This window comes from Homo sapiens, chromosome 16 (genome assembly GCF_000001405.40).
Source record: "Homo sapiens chromosome 16, GRCh38.p14 Primary Assembly".
In the NCBI taxonomy this organism is placed as follows: domain Eukaryota; kingdom Metazoa; phylum Chordata; class Mammalia; order Primates; family Hominidae; genus Homo; species Homo sapiens.
Window position 1 is genome coordinate 16120967 of NC_000016.10, and position 13949 is coordinate 16134915.

At 47.8% G+C, this 13949-nt stretch overlaps 1 protein-coding gene across 27 annotated transcripts in view, besides 1 other annotated feature; it reads left to right on the forward strand.

Annotated features, from left to right (window-relative positions):
• ABCC1 (ATP binding cassette subfamily C member 1 (ABCC1 blood group)) overlaps positions 1 to 13949 on the forward strand; it is a 193911-nt gene that overhangs the window by 171824 nt on the left and 8138 nt on the right. For all 27 annotated transcript variants that reach the window (XM_047434134.1, NM_004996.4, NM_001438755.1 and 24 more), the window contains 5 exons: positions 1009 to 1208; positions 3823 to 3949; positions 4844 to 4945; positions 10823 to 10969; positions 13384 to 13542. In XM_047434134.1, coding sequence (XP_047290090.1) covers positions 1009 to 1208; positions 3823 to 3949; positions 4844 to 4945; positions 10823 to 10969; positions 13384 to 13542 — 735 coding nt within the window. The remainder of the gene's footprint in view (positions 1 to 1008; positions 1209 to 3822; positions 3950 to 4843; positions 4946 to 10822; positions 10970 to 13383; positions 13543 to 13949) is intronic.
• Positions 10912 to 11411: an enhancer, noted in NCBI's record as "H3K4me1 hESC enhancer chr16:16225735-16226234 (GRCh37/hg19 assembly coordinates)". NCBI's record gives its function as "activates a minimal SCP1, AML or CMV promoter by ChIP-STARR-seq in primed H9 embryonic stem cells {active_cell/tissue: H9 hESC(primed)}" and the evidence as "EXISTENCE:reporter gene assay evidence [ECO:0000049][PMID:30033119]".

The window sequence follows — 13949 nt, forward strand, 5'->3', positions numbered from 1 at the left end:
TACTGTTAGGTCAAACTATATGAAACTGCTAATACTTATTTCTTATCTACAGAAACAGCTATTTCCTGTGGTTCAACCTAGTATTACCAGGCACTGTGCTTAGTGACATCATGCATATCTATATGATTTATGAAATAATGTGTCCACGCAAATACACATCACATGTAAGACTGTAACTCTTACATGTCACCCTCACAATGACCCCGTGAAGCAAGCTTTGTTTTGTTTCGTTTGTTTTCTTAATAATATTTTATTTTTGTAGAGATGGCATTTTGCCATGTGCCTGGGCTGGTCTCAGACTCCTGGCCTCAAGTGATCTCCCGCCTCTGCCTCCTGAAGTGCGGGTATTACAAGCATGAGCCACCCCACCTGGCCGAGCAAGCCTTGTTGTTCCCATTTTACAGATAAGGAAACTGAGGCTTAGAGAAGTAAAGTGTTAGTCGTGTTTATATTGCCAGTCAGTAGTTGAGTCAGGATTTGAACTGAGGTCTCGTTGACCTCAAAGCCTATGCTGAAAACCACACTGCTGGTTCCAGAAAACCCTAGAGGTGAAAGGCTTCAGAGAGGCAGTACAGGGTAGAGGTTAGCACTTTGCAGCCCAGATGGCCTGGGTTTGAATCCCAGTTCTGCCCCTTGCTAGCCATGTGACCTTGGGGAGGAGATTAACTAGCTTCTTTGTGCCTTAGTCTACCCATCACATATAGGAATGAGCACCTCAGGTTTTTTGTGAGGATTGAATGAACTGATGTTTGTAAAACTGCTTAGAACGATGCCTGGGGCTGTGGGCTTTGTATAAGCGTGAGCTATTATTGTCACTGTCCTTGTCATTGGTGGTGCTATTCCTGTGGTTCACCAGGTGAGTGGGCACCCCTGTGAGGGCAGCCCGGCTCTAACATTTTGCCTCCTGGAGGTATCGGTTACGTCTAGATGTTCTCCAGCACAGCCCTGCCCTGGGAGGATGGCAGGAGGGAACCTTCATCAACTCCCCGCGTCTGTTCTCTACCCCAGAGGTTCTACGTGGCTTCCTCCCGGCAGCTGAAGCGCCTCGAGTCGGTCAGCCGCTCCCCGGTCTATTCCCATTTCAACGAGACCTTGCTGGGGGTCAGCGTCATTCGAGCCTTCGAGGAGCAGGAGCGCTTCATCCACCAGAGTGACCTGAAGGTGGACGAGAACCAGAAGGCCTATTACCCCAGCATCGTGGCCAACAGGTGGGCATGGTGGGCCTGCAGGAGCGGGTGGAGGAGGCCGCCTTAGCACCTTGTCTCTTTGCCTCGATCTTTTCCTCGCACCTTGAGCTGGGTATAAAGCCAAACCCCGGCCTTGCAGAAAGGATGGAGAGGCTTGATGAGCGCGGAGGACAGATGAATCATTAAGAGCAGACAGCGGCACTGTAGACATGCAGTGCCCGCGGCATTTAAGTGCAGGGACACAGCTCTTCTGGAGTCAGAAAGCCCTGCAAGTGCTTCCCGTTAACTGTCATCCTAGTGATGCAAGACTGCCAGCGACCGACTCTGCTATTGAGTATCTTCATACCGCTGTTCCCGTCTGGGGGTGATCATGCACCCCTGGGTGATGTGTGTCAGAAGCAATTTACTAATACTAAGCTAAACCATATGAGATTGTCATCTTGTGGGCCAGATGTCATGGCTCACGCCTGTAATCCCAGTACTTTGGGAGGCTGAGGCAGGAGGATCCATTAGATTCCAGGCCAGCCTGGGCAACATAGCAAGACCCCCATCTCTCTTAAAAAAAAAAAAAAAAAAAAAAAGTAGCCCATCATGGTGGTGTGTGCCTGTAGTCCTAGCTTCTCGAGAGGCTGAGGCTGGAGGATCGTTTCAGCCCAGGAGTTCAAAGTTGCATTGAGCTATGATTACACCACTGCACTCCAGCCTGGGTGACAGAGTGAGACCCTGTCTCTGGAAAAACAAAAAAAGGAGATGGGGGTGGGAGATTGACATCTTGTGGATCACAGATAATAGCATCAATCCAAAAGAGGCAGAAGTTTGCTAATTATTTGCTGAATTTAGAGAAGTGTCCCTCTCACCCATTTGCATCCTTATAGACTTTTCTGAAAAAGTGACAGCACCCCAGAGGTGTCCCATAACCATTAGCCCGTCTTACACACTCTAATCCCATAGCGTAAGTCTGGGTGGGCTAACCCTGAATGATTACAGACCTTGACTTCCCTTCAGAATTTTTAGGGAGTTTGTCACAATCTGGCTGTGTCTGTCGGAGTAGTGAGGATCAGTCACTTGGTTCATAAGGGCTGCAATGGAGAAAAGATCAACACCCCATCTTCCTAGAATGCTTTATATTTTAGAACATTAAAATAATAGTTCTAGTGCTATATGATATCATACGAAGCCTAGCTTTAAACAAATAAGATGGCCAGGCGCGGTGGCTCACATCTGTAATCCCAGCACTTTGGGATGCCAAAGTGGGTGGATCACCTGAGGTCAGGAGTTCAAGACCAGCCTGGTCAACATGGCAAAATCCCATCTATATTAAAAATACAAAAAAATTAGCCGGGCATGATGGTGGGTGCCTGTACTTGGGAGGCTGAGGCAGGAGAATCACTTGAACCCAAGAGGCAGAGGTTGCAGTGAGCCAAGACCGCACCATTGCACTCCAGCCTGGGCAACGAGAGCGAAACTCTATCTGAAGAAATAATAGAAGAGAAGAGAAGAATAAAATAAAAAGTAAAATAAAATAGTTCTGATGGTACATGATACCATACTAAACCTAGCTTTAAACAAATAAGATGACCAGGCACATTGGTTGACACCTGTAATCTCAGCACTTTGGGTGGCCAAGGCAGGCGGGTCACTTGAGCCCAGCAGTTCGAGACCAGCCTGGGCACTCTAGGGAGACCCTGTCTCTAAAAACAAAACAAAAAACCAAAAATTTGCCAGGTGTGGTGGCATGGGCCTGTAGTCGCAGCTACTCAGGCTGAGGCAGGAGGATCACTGGAACTTGGAAGGTTGAGGCGGCAGTGAGCTGTGATCATGTCATCCACACTCCAGCCTGGATGGCAGAGTAAGACCCCATCTCAAAAAAACAAAATGACAGAAAACATGATTTCTGTTTCTATTTTAAAGGGTAAAATAGTATATTTTAACACTTTGAAATGAAGAGTCTGGGCTTGGGAACGTTACAATGATGTTTACTCGTACTAGTTACGCACTCCCCTCCCAGATCTGTCTCGTAACAAGAGACTGTTATTTTCTACTTGTTTTTAGCCAAAAGGCCGAGAAACGATGGTTATTTTAAATCCCTAGTGTCTCTTACAGTTGATGTCTTCTTAGTATTTAGGAATTTCCAGGACATCTTTTTGTTGTTGTTAATGCACTGTGTGTGTGTGTGTGTGTGTGTGTGTGTGTGTGATTATAGGAGTGACCCACTACGCCCGGCTGTGTGTGTGTGTGTGTGTGTGTGTGTGTGTGTATGTGTGTGTGTGTGATTATAGGAGTGACCCACTACGCCCGGCCTATGTGTATGTATTTTAAAGGCTTCAATGAGAAAAAAGTTGGTTCTTAAAAAGGCAAGCTTCAGATTCCAGGGAAGATTGCCTCTGGAGAGCTCTGTTTTAATCCATGGGTTTGCCAGATTAATGAGGATTTACTGGCCTCGTGCCTTCGGCCCTCCCTACCCTGCGCCCATTGTGCATGTTTTGAAAAAGCAGTGCCAGGAAGGACTCTCTCTGGAATTACTGCGGAGTTACTTGAGTTAGCAAAGAATCCCCTTCCTCCCCCAAGAGCTGTAAGCCAAGTCTCTGTAGAGCTGACTCCATGCCTGTTTGTCTGCCTGTGTGTCTTGGCGCAGGTGGCTGGCCGTGCGGCTGGAGTGTGTGGGCAACTGCATCGTTCTGTTTGCTGCCCTGTTTGCGGTGATCTCCAGGCACAGCCTCAGTGCTGGCTTGGTGGGCCTCTCAGTGTCTTACTCATTGCAGGTAAGAGGGGATGCTCTTGGCTGGATTATTAAAGTCTGTTAATGGGGGAGCCAGTTGTCCTTGGCTTTGGATTCCAGCTCCAACAGGAATGGGGGAGAGGAACTTGAGAGGTACGGAGTTTGAGGAGCAGGTACAGTGCCACAGTGCCTGGTGACCAACTAGAGCAGGAGACGGATTTGACATGTGGCCAGGATTTTCCCCATCAGTCACACAGATTCCTTAGTGGCCCAAGAGGATACTTCCAGGTACGAGGGGAATGCTTTTAAAGCTATGAATTTCCCTCTAAGAACTGCTTTAGCTGCATCTCACAAATGATGATACATTGTGTTTTCATATTGTCACCTGGCTAAAAATATTTTCCAGTTTCTTATTATGTGGCCCATGAGTTATTTTGGAAATGTGTGTGCTTAGGAGATGGCAATGTGGCAGGCCTGGGTGATGGCTATACCTGGGGTTGCTAATTTCGGTACCTTTCTTACCTGAATGTTTCATAACTCATAACCTTTTATTTTTATTTATTTATTTTTTTTGGAGACGGAATCTCACTCTGTCACCCAGGCTGGAATGCAGTGGTGGGATCTCGGCTCACTGCAACCTCTGCCTCCTGGGTTCAAGTGATTCTTCTGCCTCAGCCTCCCAAATAGCTGGGTTTACAGGTGTGCGTCACCATGCCTGGCTAATTTTTATATTTTTAGTAGTGACTGATGGGGTTTCGCCACATCGGCCAGGCTGGTCTCAAACCCCTGACCTCAGGTGATCTGACCGCCTCAGCCTCCCATAATTCATACTTGTTGAAAATAATTTGTTTCCTATTATCTCAGTGGAAAAAAAGAAAAAGGAAAGTCAAGTACGCCCGCTTACTCTAGAAATGCCACGTGACTCTTCCACTCACAGGTCACCACGTACTTGAACTGGCTGGTTCGGATGTCATCTGAAATGGAAACCAACATCGTGGCCGTGGAGAGGCTCAAGGAGTATTCAGAGACTGAGAAGGAGGTAGGCAAGGGCCCCTGGCTGGACCTCTTGGTCTTTGGTGTAGCTTTACCCCAAGGAGATCTCTGGACCCTATCCTGTGCACCTCTGCCTCTGAGCTGGATACCTCACCAGGTAGAAGTGCATCTTAACGCTTGTCCAGTCTTTTTGCAGCACTTATTTAGAGCCCGGTTTTAGGGTGAAAATAGTTTACCGGCTTTACCCAAGATCTGGGGTATCCATATACGAGACTGTGGGATGCTGTCAGGGCATTCAGAAGGTATTCACATTGTGAAGAAGTTTCCCCCTCTATTTCTCTTTCATAACTTCTGATGGTATCACAGAGAAAGTCTTAGTCTGGGGCTAGCAGGTCTTTAACACCTTAGCAATTGAGATGATCTCCCTTCAACAGACAGATAAACAGCAGCCCTCACACTTGGAGTCTTCAACAGGACGGATTCTGTCTATCAGAAATAACCTTCTGTTATTTGTTATGAATTTGGTTTTTTTGTGTGTGTGATGGAGTCTCACTGTCACCCAGGCTGGAGTGCAGTGGCACAATCTCGGCTCACTGCAACCTCCTCCTCCCAGGTTCAAGTAATTCTCCTGCCTCAGCCTCCCAAATAGTTGGGATTACAGGTGCCTGTCATCATGCCTGGCTAATTTTTGTATTTTTAGTAGAGATGGGGGTTTCACTAAGTTGGCCAGTCTGGTCTCAAACTCTTGACCTCAGGTGATCCGCCTGCCTCAGCCTCCCAAAGTGCTGGGATTACAGGCGTGAGCCACTGCGCCTGGCCTGTTATGTATTTGTATAGGGGACTCCTGTTACGGAAAATAATACTACTTTTCCTTTTGTGATTGTAATAAATTTTCCTCTTAAGTAAGTTGAGAAATTAAGTCTAAGTGACTTGATTAAGCATATTAAAACAACAAGAGAATGAGTACATGCATACTACACGAATGATGTAGCTGGGAACTGACCAAAGTTTGGGAAACCCTGCCGTTATTGAACCCCAGTCCCCTTTTTATAGATGGAGAAAAAGGGAACCTGGGGAGGGACAACAGCTGATCCAAGGTCCCACGTGGCTTGGTAGAACAGCTGGGACTAGGACCCGTGCCTCCAGTCTTTGATGTTGCGTTGCCCTTAATAACTGCCTTCTTAGGCCCTGAACAGCAGCACAAGTAGGAACAGCAGTGATAATAGATAATCACAATAATGCCTGGCGACACCCCCACCCTACATTAATGATAACAGGGACACACATAGTGCCTTGTAGAATGTCAGGCCCAGACTTAAACGTTTAATATAGAGTAATGCACTCAGTCTTTACCCCGCTCTATGACTGATTTTTGAGACACGGTCTCACTCTTGCCCGGGTTGGAGTGTAGTGCGATCTCATTCGCTGCCTCCCAGGCTCAAGTGATTCTCCTACCTCTGCCTCCTGAGTGTCTGGGACCACGGGCATATGCCATCACACCGGACTGATTTTTGTATTTTTAGTAGAGACGGGATTTTGCCCAGACTCATCTTGATCTCCTGAGCTCTAGTGATCTGCCTGCCTTGGCCTCCCAAAGTGCTGGGATTACAAGCGGGAGCCACCATGCCCAGCCCAGCCCTATAATTTAGATGCTACTATTACCCCCATTTTACAGGTGAGGAAACTGAGACAAAAAGCTGAAGTTACTTGCCCAAGATCACATGGCTGGTAAATGGCAGACCTAGGCGTTGAGCCTGTGCCTCCTCAGAGACCCTATCCAGTGCCATGGGAGTCATGCTACCCGGCCTCCTGAGGAGAGATGCCCCTTGGGAGTGAGACCAAGGCCTCTGTAAGGTCTGTCCTCCTGAGGAATTCACAGAGGTGACCTCGGCCCACTCCTTTAACATTCTGACTGGGTGAACCAGGTCCCATGTCACGGGTGAGCATTGTAAGAATGGCGTGAGTGCCCCCGTGAGGAACCAAGGGTGTATTACACCGGCGGCTTCCAACTTGACACTGAATTTAATTCACTTACAAGGTATTTCATTAGGTTTTTTTTTTTTTTTTTTTTAGATGGAATTTGGCTTTTTTTTTGCCCAGGCTGGAATGCAGTGGCACGATCTCAGCTCACTGCAACCTCCACCTCCTGGGTTCAAGTGATTCTCCTGCCTCAGCCTCCCAATTAGCTGGGATTACAAGTACCCACCACCCCGCCCAGCTAACTTATTTCATTAGTTTTTATAATAGCCTCATTGACATGTGAATTTCACATGCCATGGAATTCACCCAGTTAAAGCGTTCAGTTAGATTGAATTCAGTTTTTTTTTTGTTTGTTTGAGACTTAAGTCTCGCTCCAGCCTGGAGTGCAGTGGCATGATCTCAGCTCACTGCAACCTCCTTCTCCTGGGTTCAAGCGATTCCCAGCCTCCTGAGTAGCTGGGATTACAGGCGATTTTTGTATTTTTAGTAGAGAAGGGATTTCACCATGTTGGCCCGGCTGGTCTCGAACTCCTGACCTCGTGATCCACCCGCCTCAGCCTCCCAAAGTGCTGGGATCACAGGTGTGAGCCACCACACCCGGCCTGAGTTCAGTTTTTAAAAGCATTTTACTTTTGACTGACTTTTATATTTTTAGAAGGATCGTGTTTGACAAACCCAAGAGAAAGTAATTGTCCTCATTAGTCCTACCACTATTCTGTATTTGCATGTATTTTTATATATAGATAGAAAGTTCCACATACTTCTCTCCATTCCGCTCACTGTGTTGTTATAGCATCTCCCCTTCAATTATGTACATAAATTATAAAATAGAGATACACTTGTTGTTTTAAAAAAGAAAAAATCAATACAGGGCTGGACACAGTGGCCCACGCCTGCAATCCCAGCACTTTGAGAGGCCAAGGTGGGTGGATCACTTGAAGCCAGGAGTTCGAGACCAGCCTGGCCAACGGTGAATCCCGTCTCTACTAAAAATACAAAAATTAGTTGGCATGGTGGCAGGTGCCTATAATTCCAGCTACTTGGGAGGCTGAGGTGGGAGGATCGCTGGAACCCGGGAGGTGGAGGTTGCAGTGAGCTGAAGAAACATCACTGCACTCCAGCCTGGGTGACAGAGTGAGACTCTGTCTCGAAAAACAAAAAAACAAAGAAGTTTATGGTGGAGAAAGACAGTTTGTTCCTGTTCGCCCCGTTCCTCTCCTCTCCAGAGAGAGGCCCCATTAGCATTCGGGTGAATTTCCCCCAAAACTTTCCCGTGTGGATTCCCACATACCCCAACACTTTTGTTTGCTTGTTTCTTTTTCTTTTAACGTAAGTGGAATCTACCTGTTATCCTGTGAAACCTTTTCTTTAACCATGAGGCACCTTTGCATCTGTGTATAGTAACAGTCACTGCCTCTAAGGGCTGCTGTGAGGCTCAGATGAGATCATGGGTCTCAAGTGCTGAGCAGAGCAACTTGCCTTAGTTGCATTGTAAGCGCTCAATAATAACATTTATTTTTTGGCCAGGCGCGGTGGCTCACGCCTGTAATCCCAGCACTTTGGGAGGCCAAGGCAGATGGATCACTTGAGCCCAGGAGTTTGAGACGATCCTGGGCAACATGGTGAGACATCGTCTCTACAAAATAAAAAATAATACTTTTTGTTGTTGGCGGTGGTGGTGGGGTTTTTTTTTGTTTTTTTTTTTTTGAGACAGAGGAGTCTTGCTGTGTCACCCAGACTGGAGTGTAGTGGTTTTATCTTGGCTCACTGCAACCTCTGCCTCCCAGATTCTAGTGATCGTCGTGTCTCAACCTCCCAAGTAGCTGAGATTACAGGCTCCCACCATCAGGCCCAGCTAATTTTTGTATTTTTAGTAGAGCCAGGGTTTCACCATGTTGGTCAGGCTGGTCTCAAACTCCTGACCTCAAGTGTTCTGCCCACCTCGGCCTCCCTAAGTGCTGGGATTACAGGTGTGAGCCACTGCGCCGGCAACGCTGTGATTTTATAGCACGTCCACAAAAGGGCTGCATGTCTTGCCTAAAAGTTGCCCGGCGTTTTCTTGTTATGTGCCGTCTGCAGTGCCCCTGAGCTTGGCCATGTGCTCTGCAGCCTGGTTCAGCACCTGTGTGTGCCCTGGACGGGGAGGTGCATTCCCCGAGGCTAAAACCAGTGAACCTGGCCCAGGCCATATCCAGCTGTGGGCCTCAGGAAATGCTGAACTGAACTACTTTTCAAAAGGAGGGTTGTGTGTCCCTGGGCAAGTTACCGCCCCTCTCTGTGTCTCAGTCTCCTTGTGTGTAAACTGGGGATAATGAAAGGACCCTCCCACATGGGGTTGCTGTGAGGATTGGATGAGACACTGCGATACAGATGCTGCTTTTATCCTTGCCTTCCTGCCGGGGTGGGCAGCCAGGGTAACTCACTTTTATTGTCGTGTCTGTCCAGAGAAGACCACTCATTTCATTGACTCCATTTATAAATATTTATTTAAATTTTTTTTTATCAAAAAGTAAGTTTTATTGGCATCTAAAAACAAAATTCACCCAACACTGAAACATACTTCAATATTTATGTTATTGTTTTCTTGTTTCTTTTTTACTCACTGCAGTGTGAGGAACAAATCACATTTACTTTGGAGAAACAGAGACCATAGTGTAGATTTTACAAAATCACTTTTTAAACTCTCTGTATTGCGCTCCTCAAATACCTAGAGCCAGTCTGTGCATAACATGGCACACTGTTGTCTAAACCGTAAAATTTTGCATCAGCCTAAAGATATGGATAAGATATACCTCCACTTGCTCTTTTGAAATACATCTATTACCTTATCCAGCCTAATGATAGTTACCTAAAAAATTCTTTGTTCCGTAGGAAGTCTCTGACAAGCTGTTATTCATTTCCTTGACGTTAAAAGAATCTGGGGGCAACATTTATATTTTATCAGAAAAACTTTTTAAAAGTTTACCTATCATGTTCATATTGAGAACAATGTCTGTGGCGGGCATGGTGGCTCACGCCTGTAATCCCAGCACTTTGGGAGGTAGAGGTGGGTGGATCATGAGGTCAGGAGTTAGAGACCAGCCTGGCCAACATGGTGAAACCACATCTCTACTAAAAATACAAAAATTAGCTGGGTGTGGTGGCGGGTGTCTGTAATCCCAGCTACTCAGGAGGCTGAGGCAGGAGAGTCGCTTGAACCTGGGAGGCAGGGGTTGCAGTGAGCTGAGATCATGCCATTGCACTCCAGCCTGGGCGACAGAGTGAGACTCCATCTCAAAAAAAAAAGAACAATGTCTATACAAATCAGTTGTACAATTATTTTAAAAGAATGGTGAGCATGAACGTCACGTTAATTCTGGCAGACAAAAATGAACAACTATGGTCCATTGAGCCATTATCTGTTACACAGAGATGACAGCTTTACAGAAGGTATCTCTGACCTACTGAGGGATGATCATGTCCTCTCAGTTTCTGTGCCTTCTACCACTAGTTCACTTTCTATATCAGCAGCTGTGTCACTCTTCTTGTTTATGTTCATAAATGTGTGTTGAACACCTACTATGTGCTCTGAGCCCTGGGATACAGCAGTGAACAATTAGAGCCTGTCCTCATTGAGTGGATGGTGCAGTGGGTGTGGGAGACAGAATACACTCAAGCATGCGAGCCCCAAGAGGGCTGGGGACAGGCAGTGCCCTGAAGGAGAAGGCAGTGCGGGAGGGGACAGAGGGACACAGGGCTGAGAGGGTGCTCTGTATCGACCAGAGATCCACAGGATGCAAGGGGGTCATTTGGGGAATAACATTCCAGGAAGGGCAACCCCCCAGTGCTGAGGCCTGGGAGGCCACCTTGGGCAGCAGAGTGAGTGAGAGGGGAGGTCAGGGGAGTCACAGCTTTACCAGATGGACTGGAAATTCCTTACTCTCTCCCTTCACTGCGATCGAAGGCGCCCTGGCAAATCCAGGAGACAGCTCCGCCCAGCAGCTGGCCCCAGGTGGGCCGAGTGGAATTCCGGAACTACTGCCTGCGCTACCGAGAGGACCTGGACTTCGTTCTCAGGCACATCAATGTCACGATCAATGGGGGAGAAAAGGTGGGTACACATCGCCCCATTCCCTCACCCATTCCCAGTCGGGCACAGGGTGCCATCGGGCAGGTGAACCTAGCTGCAGCGTCTCCCCAGTCACTCACGGCTCCACACCTTTGCTTGAATGGCTTTTTGGGGGGCTGGGAGTGGACTGTGGCAGTAAAAGCTGTTCAGAGCGCATACAGCTTGCAGAAGTGAAGGCTTTTAGGTGAACTGACAGCCTGAAGACCAAATGAGCCCCACAGATTTGTTTTGGAAGATTTTTTGTTGTTGTTGTTGAGAGAGGGTCTTGCTCTGTTACCCAGGCTAGAGTGCAGTGGTGTGATCTCAGCCCACTGCAGCGGCAGCCTCCCAAGTGGGGGGACTACACATGGTTGGGAGTGCAGGTGTGTGCCACTGCACCTGGCTAATTTTTGTATTTTTTGTAGAGATGGGGGTCCTACTATGTTGTCCAGGCTGATCTGGAACTCTTGAGCTCAACCGGTCTGCCCGCCTCAGCTTCCCAAAGTGCTGGGATTACAGGAATCAGCCACCATTCCTGGCCCCTGGAAGAAGTTCTTTTTTTGTTTTTTGGTTGGTTGTTTTTTTTTTTTTTTTTTTTTTTTTTTTTGAGATGGAGTCTTACTCTGTTGCCAAGGCCAGAGTGCAGGGGCCCGATCTCAGCTCACTGCAACTTCTGCCTCCTGGGTTCAAGTGATTCTCCTGCCTTAGCCTCCCGAGTAGCTGGGACTACAGGCATGCGCCACCATGCCTAGCTAATTTTTGTGTTATTAGTAGAGATGGGGTTTTGCCATGTTGGCCAGGGTGGTCTTGAACTCCTGACCTCAACTGATCCACCCGCCTCAGCCTCCCCAAGTGCTGGGATTACAGGTGTGAGCCACTGCACCTGGCCTGGAAGAAATTTGAATAAGTTGCAAATACTGAAAAATCTGGAAGACTTAATATAAAAATTTATTTTCTGCTTTTTTTGGAAGATCAGAACATCTGGCAACATCAGGTCAATCCTCCCCCGCCTGGCTCTTTCTAGTCAACCTGTGAGCCTCCTGGTTCACCCCAGTCCCTCCCTGTCCCATTCATTGCCTAGTTGGCCCCTCCAAAACATTAGAATTTGTGATCTCTAGAATAAGGTGTCACCATCCCTTCTAGGGGGATGGCTCAAGGGAAGTGAGAAATTGTCAGAATTTTGGAACCTTCTCTTGGTTCCGAGCTGTTCTTGGAAGAGGTTCCTTGACCTGAGTGATACCCTTAGACTTTCCTCTGGAATTGGTCTGACAGTCTTCCTGGCCATTTGCTGGGGGACAAGGCTGCTTTCACCTCTGAACATATGGACTTATTGAACTGTTCCTACGTACCTCCCACAAAGCTCAGAACATTCTGTTCCCAGCAGATAATTTCTCTCTGAGTTACAGAGAAGAGCAGAGTGGGTGATGTTCTTGCTGTCTTTTTTTGTTTTTGTTTTTGTTTTTGTTTTTGTTTTGTTTTGTTTTGTTTTGAGACAGCCTCTCACTCTGTCACCCAGGCTGGAGTCCAGTGGTGCTATTTCGGCTCACTGCAACCTCCGTCCCCTGGGTTCAAGTGATTCTCCTGCCTCCGTCTCCCGAGTATCTGGGACTACAGGTGCATGCCACCACGCCCAGCTAATTTTTGTAGTTTTAGTAGAGATGGGGTTTTACCATGTTGGCCAGGCTGGTCTCGAACTCCTGACCTTCTCTGATCCACCTTCCTCGGCCTCCCAAAGTGCTGGGACTACAGGCATGAGCCACCGTGCCCCAGCCCTTGTTGAGTCTTTATGGCTTATCTCACGTCATGAGAATTTTTGCACGCATGCTGCTCTGTGACACCCCTGTAGGAGGGAAGAAGGAGCCCACTTCTCAAGAGCCAGGCAGGAAGGGGAGAACTGGAGGTCAGGAACATCATCCTTTGGCCATTAGCTAGAGAACCTAGTTCCTTCAAGAGAGGATGCATGGAGACCAGGTCATAGCAAAGGGCCGGAAGATCTGCCTGAATCTTTCAGATATTTCAACAACTCATGATGGGAAACTCACCATCAAAGGTGTGAAAAACAGTGGGGAAATGAGGAAATGCCTGATTATTACTTAATAGTTTCTTGAGTCTAAACAAATAGGGCTTTGTTGGAAATTCCTTCTGCCTCTTCTGTATCTCTTTTGAGGTCTCTAGTAACTTATAAAAAGCCGAGTCATTCCTTTTGGGAGCCTGGCAAAGGGAAGAGAGTCCTTCTTGACCTTCGGCCGAAACACCCTTAAAGGAGTGTCTCTGGGCAGCGCGCAAGGGAGAGGGCTGTCGAGTTGGGTTGACCAGATGACTGATGCCTGAGGTGGGGCCGAGATGAGGGCACTTTGGGGCAGGGACAAGTCCGGATGCCAGCATTCCCACCACACCTGGGCCCTTCTGTCCTGCAGGTCGGCATCGTGGGGCGGACGGGAGCTGGGAAGTCGTCCCTGACCCTGGGCTTATTTCGGATCAACGAGTCTGCCGAAGGAGAGATCATCATCGATGGCATCAACATCGCCAAGATCGGCCTGCACGACCTCCGCTTCAAGATCACCATCATCCCCCAGGTGGGGTCTGGGTGTGGCCCAGGGGGTGAGCCAGAGCTGGCAAGCCCTATGATTGCACTGACAGTGGTGTATGTATATTTTTGGGGCAAACATACATTTGGCCCTACTTCATCGTTCTTTTTTTTTTTTTTTTTTTTTTTTTTCCTGAAACAGGGTCTCGCTCTGTTGCCCAGAGTGGAGTGCGCTGGCGCAATCTCAGCTCACTGCAACCTCCGTCTCCCAGGCTCAAGCGATTCTCCCACCCCAGCCTCCTGAGTAGCTGGGACTACAGGCACATGCCACCACACCCAGCTAAATTTGTTTTGTACTTTTTTGTGGAGATGGGGTTCCACTGTGTTGCCCAGGCTGCCCTTGAACTCCTGGGCTCAAGCAATCCACCCACCTTGGCCTCCAAAAGTGCTGGGATT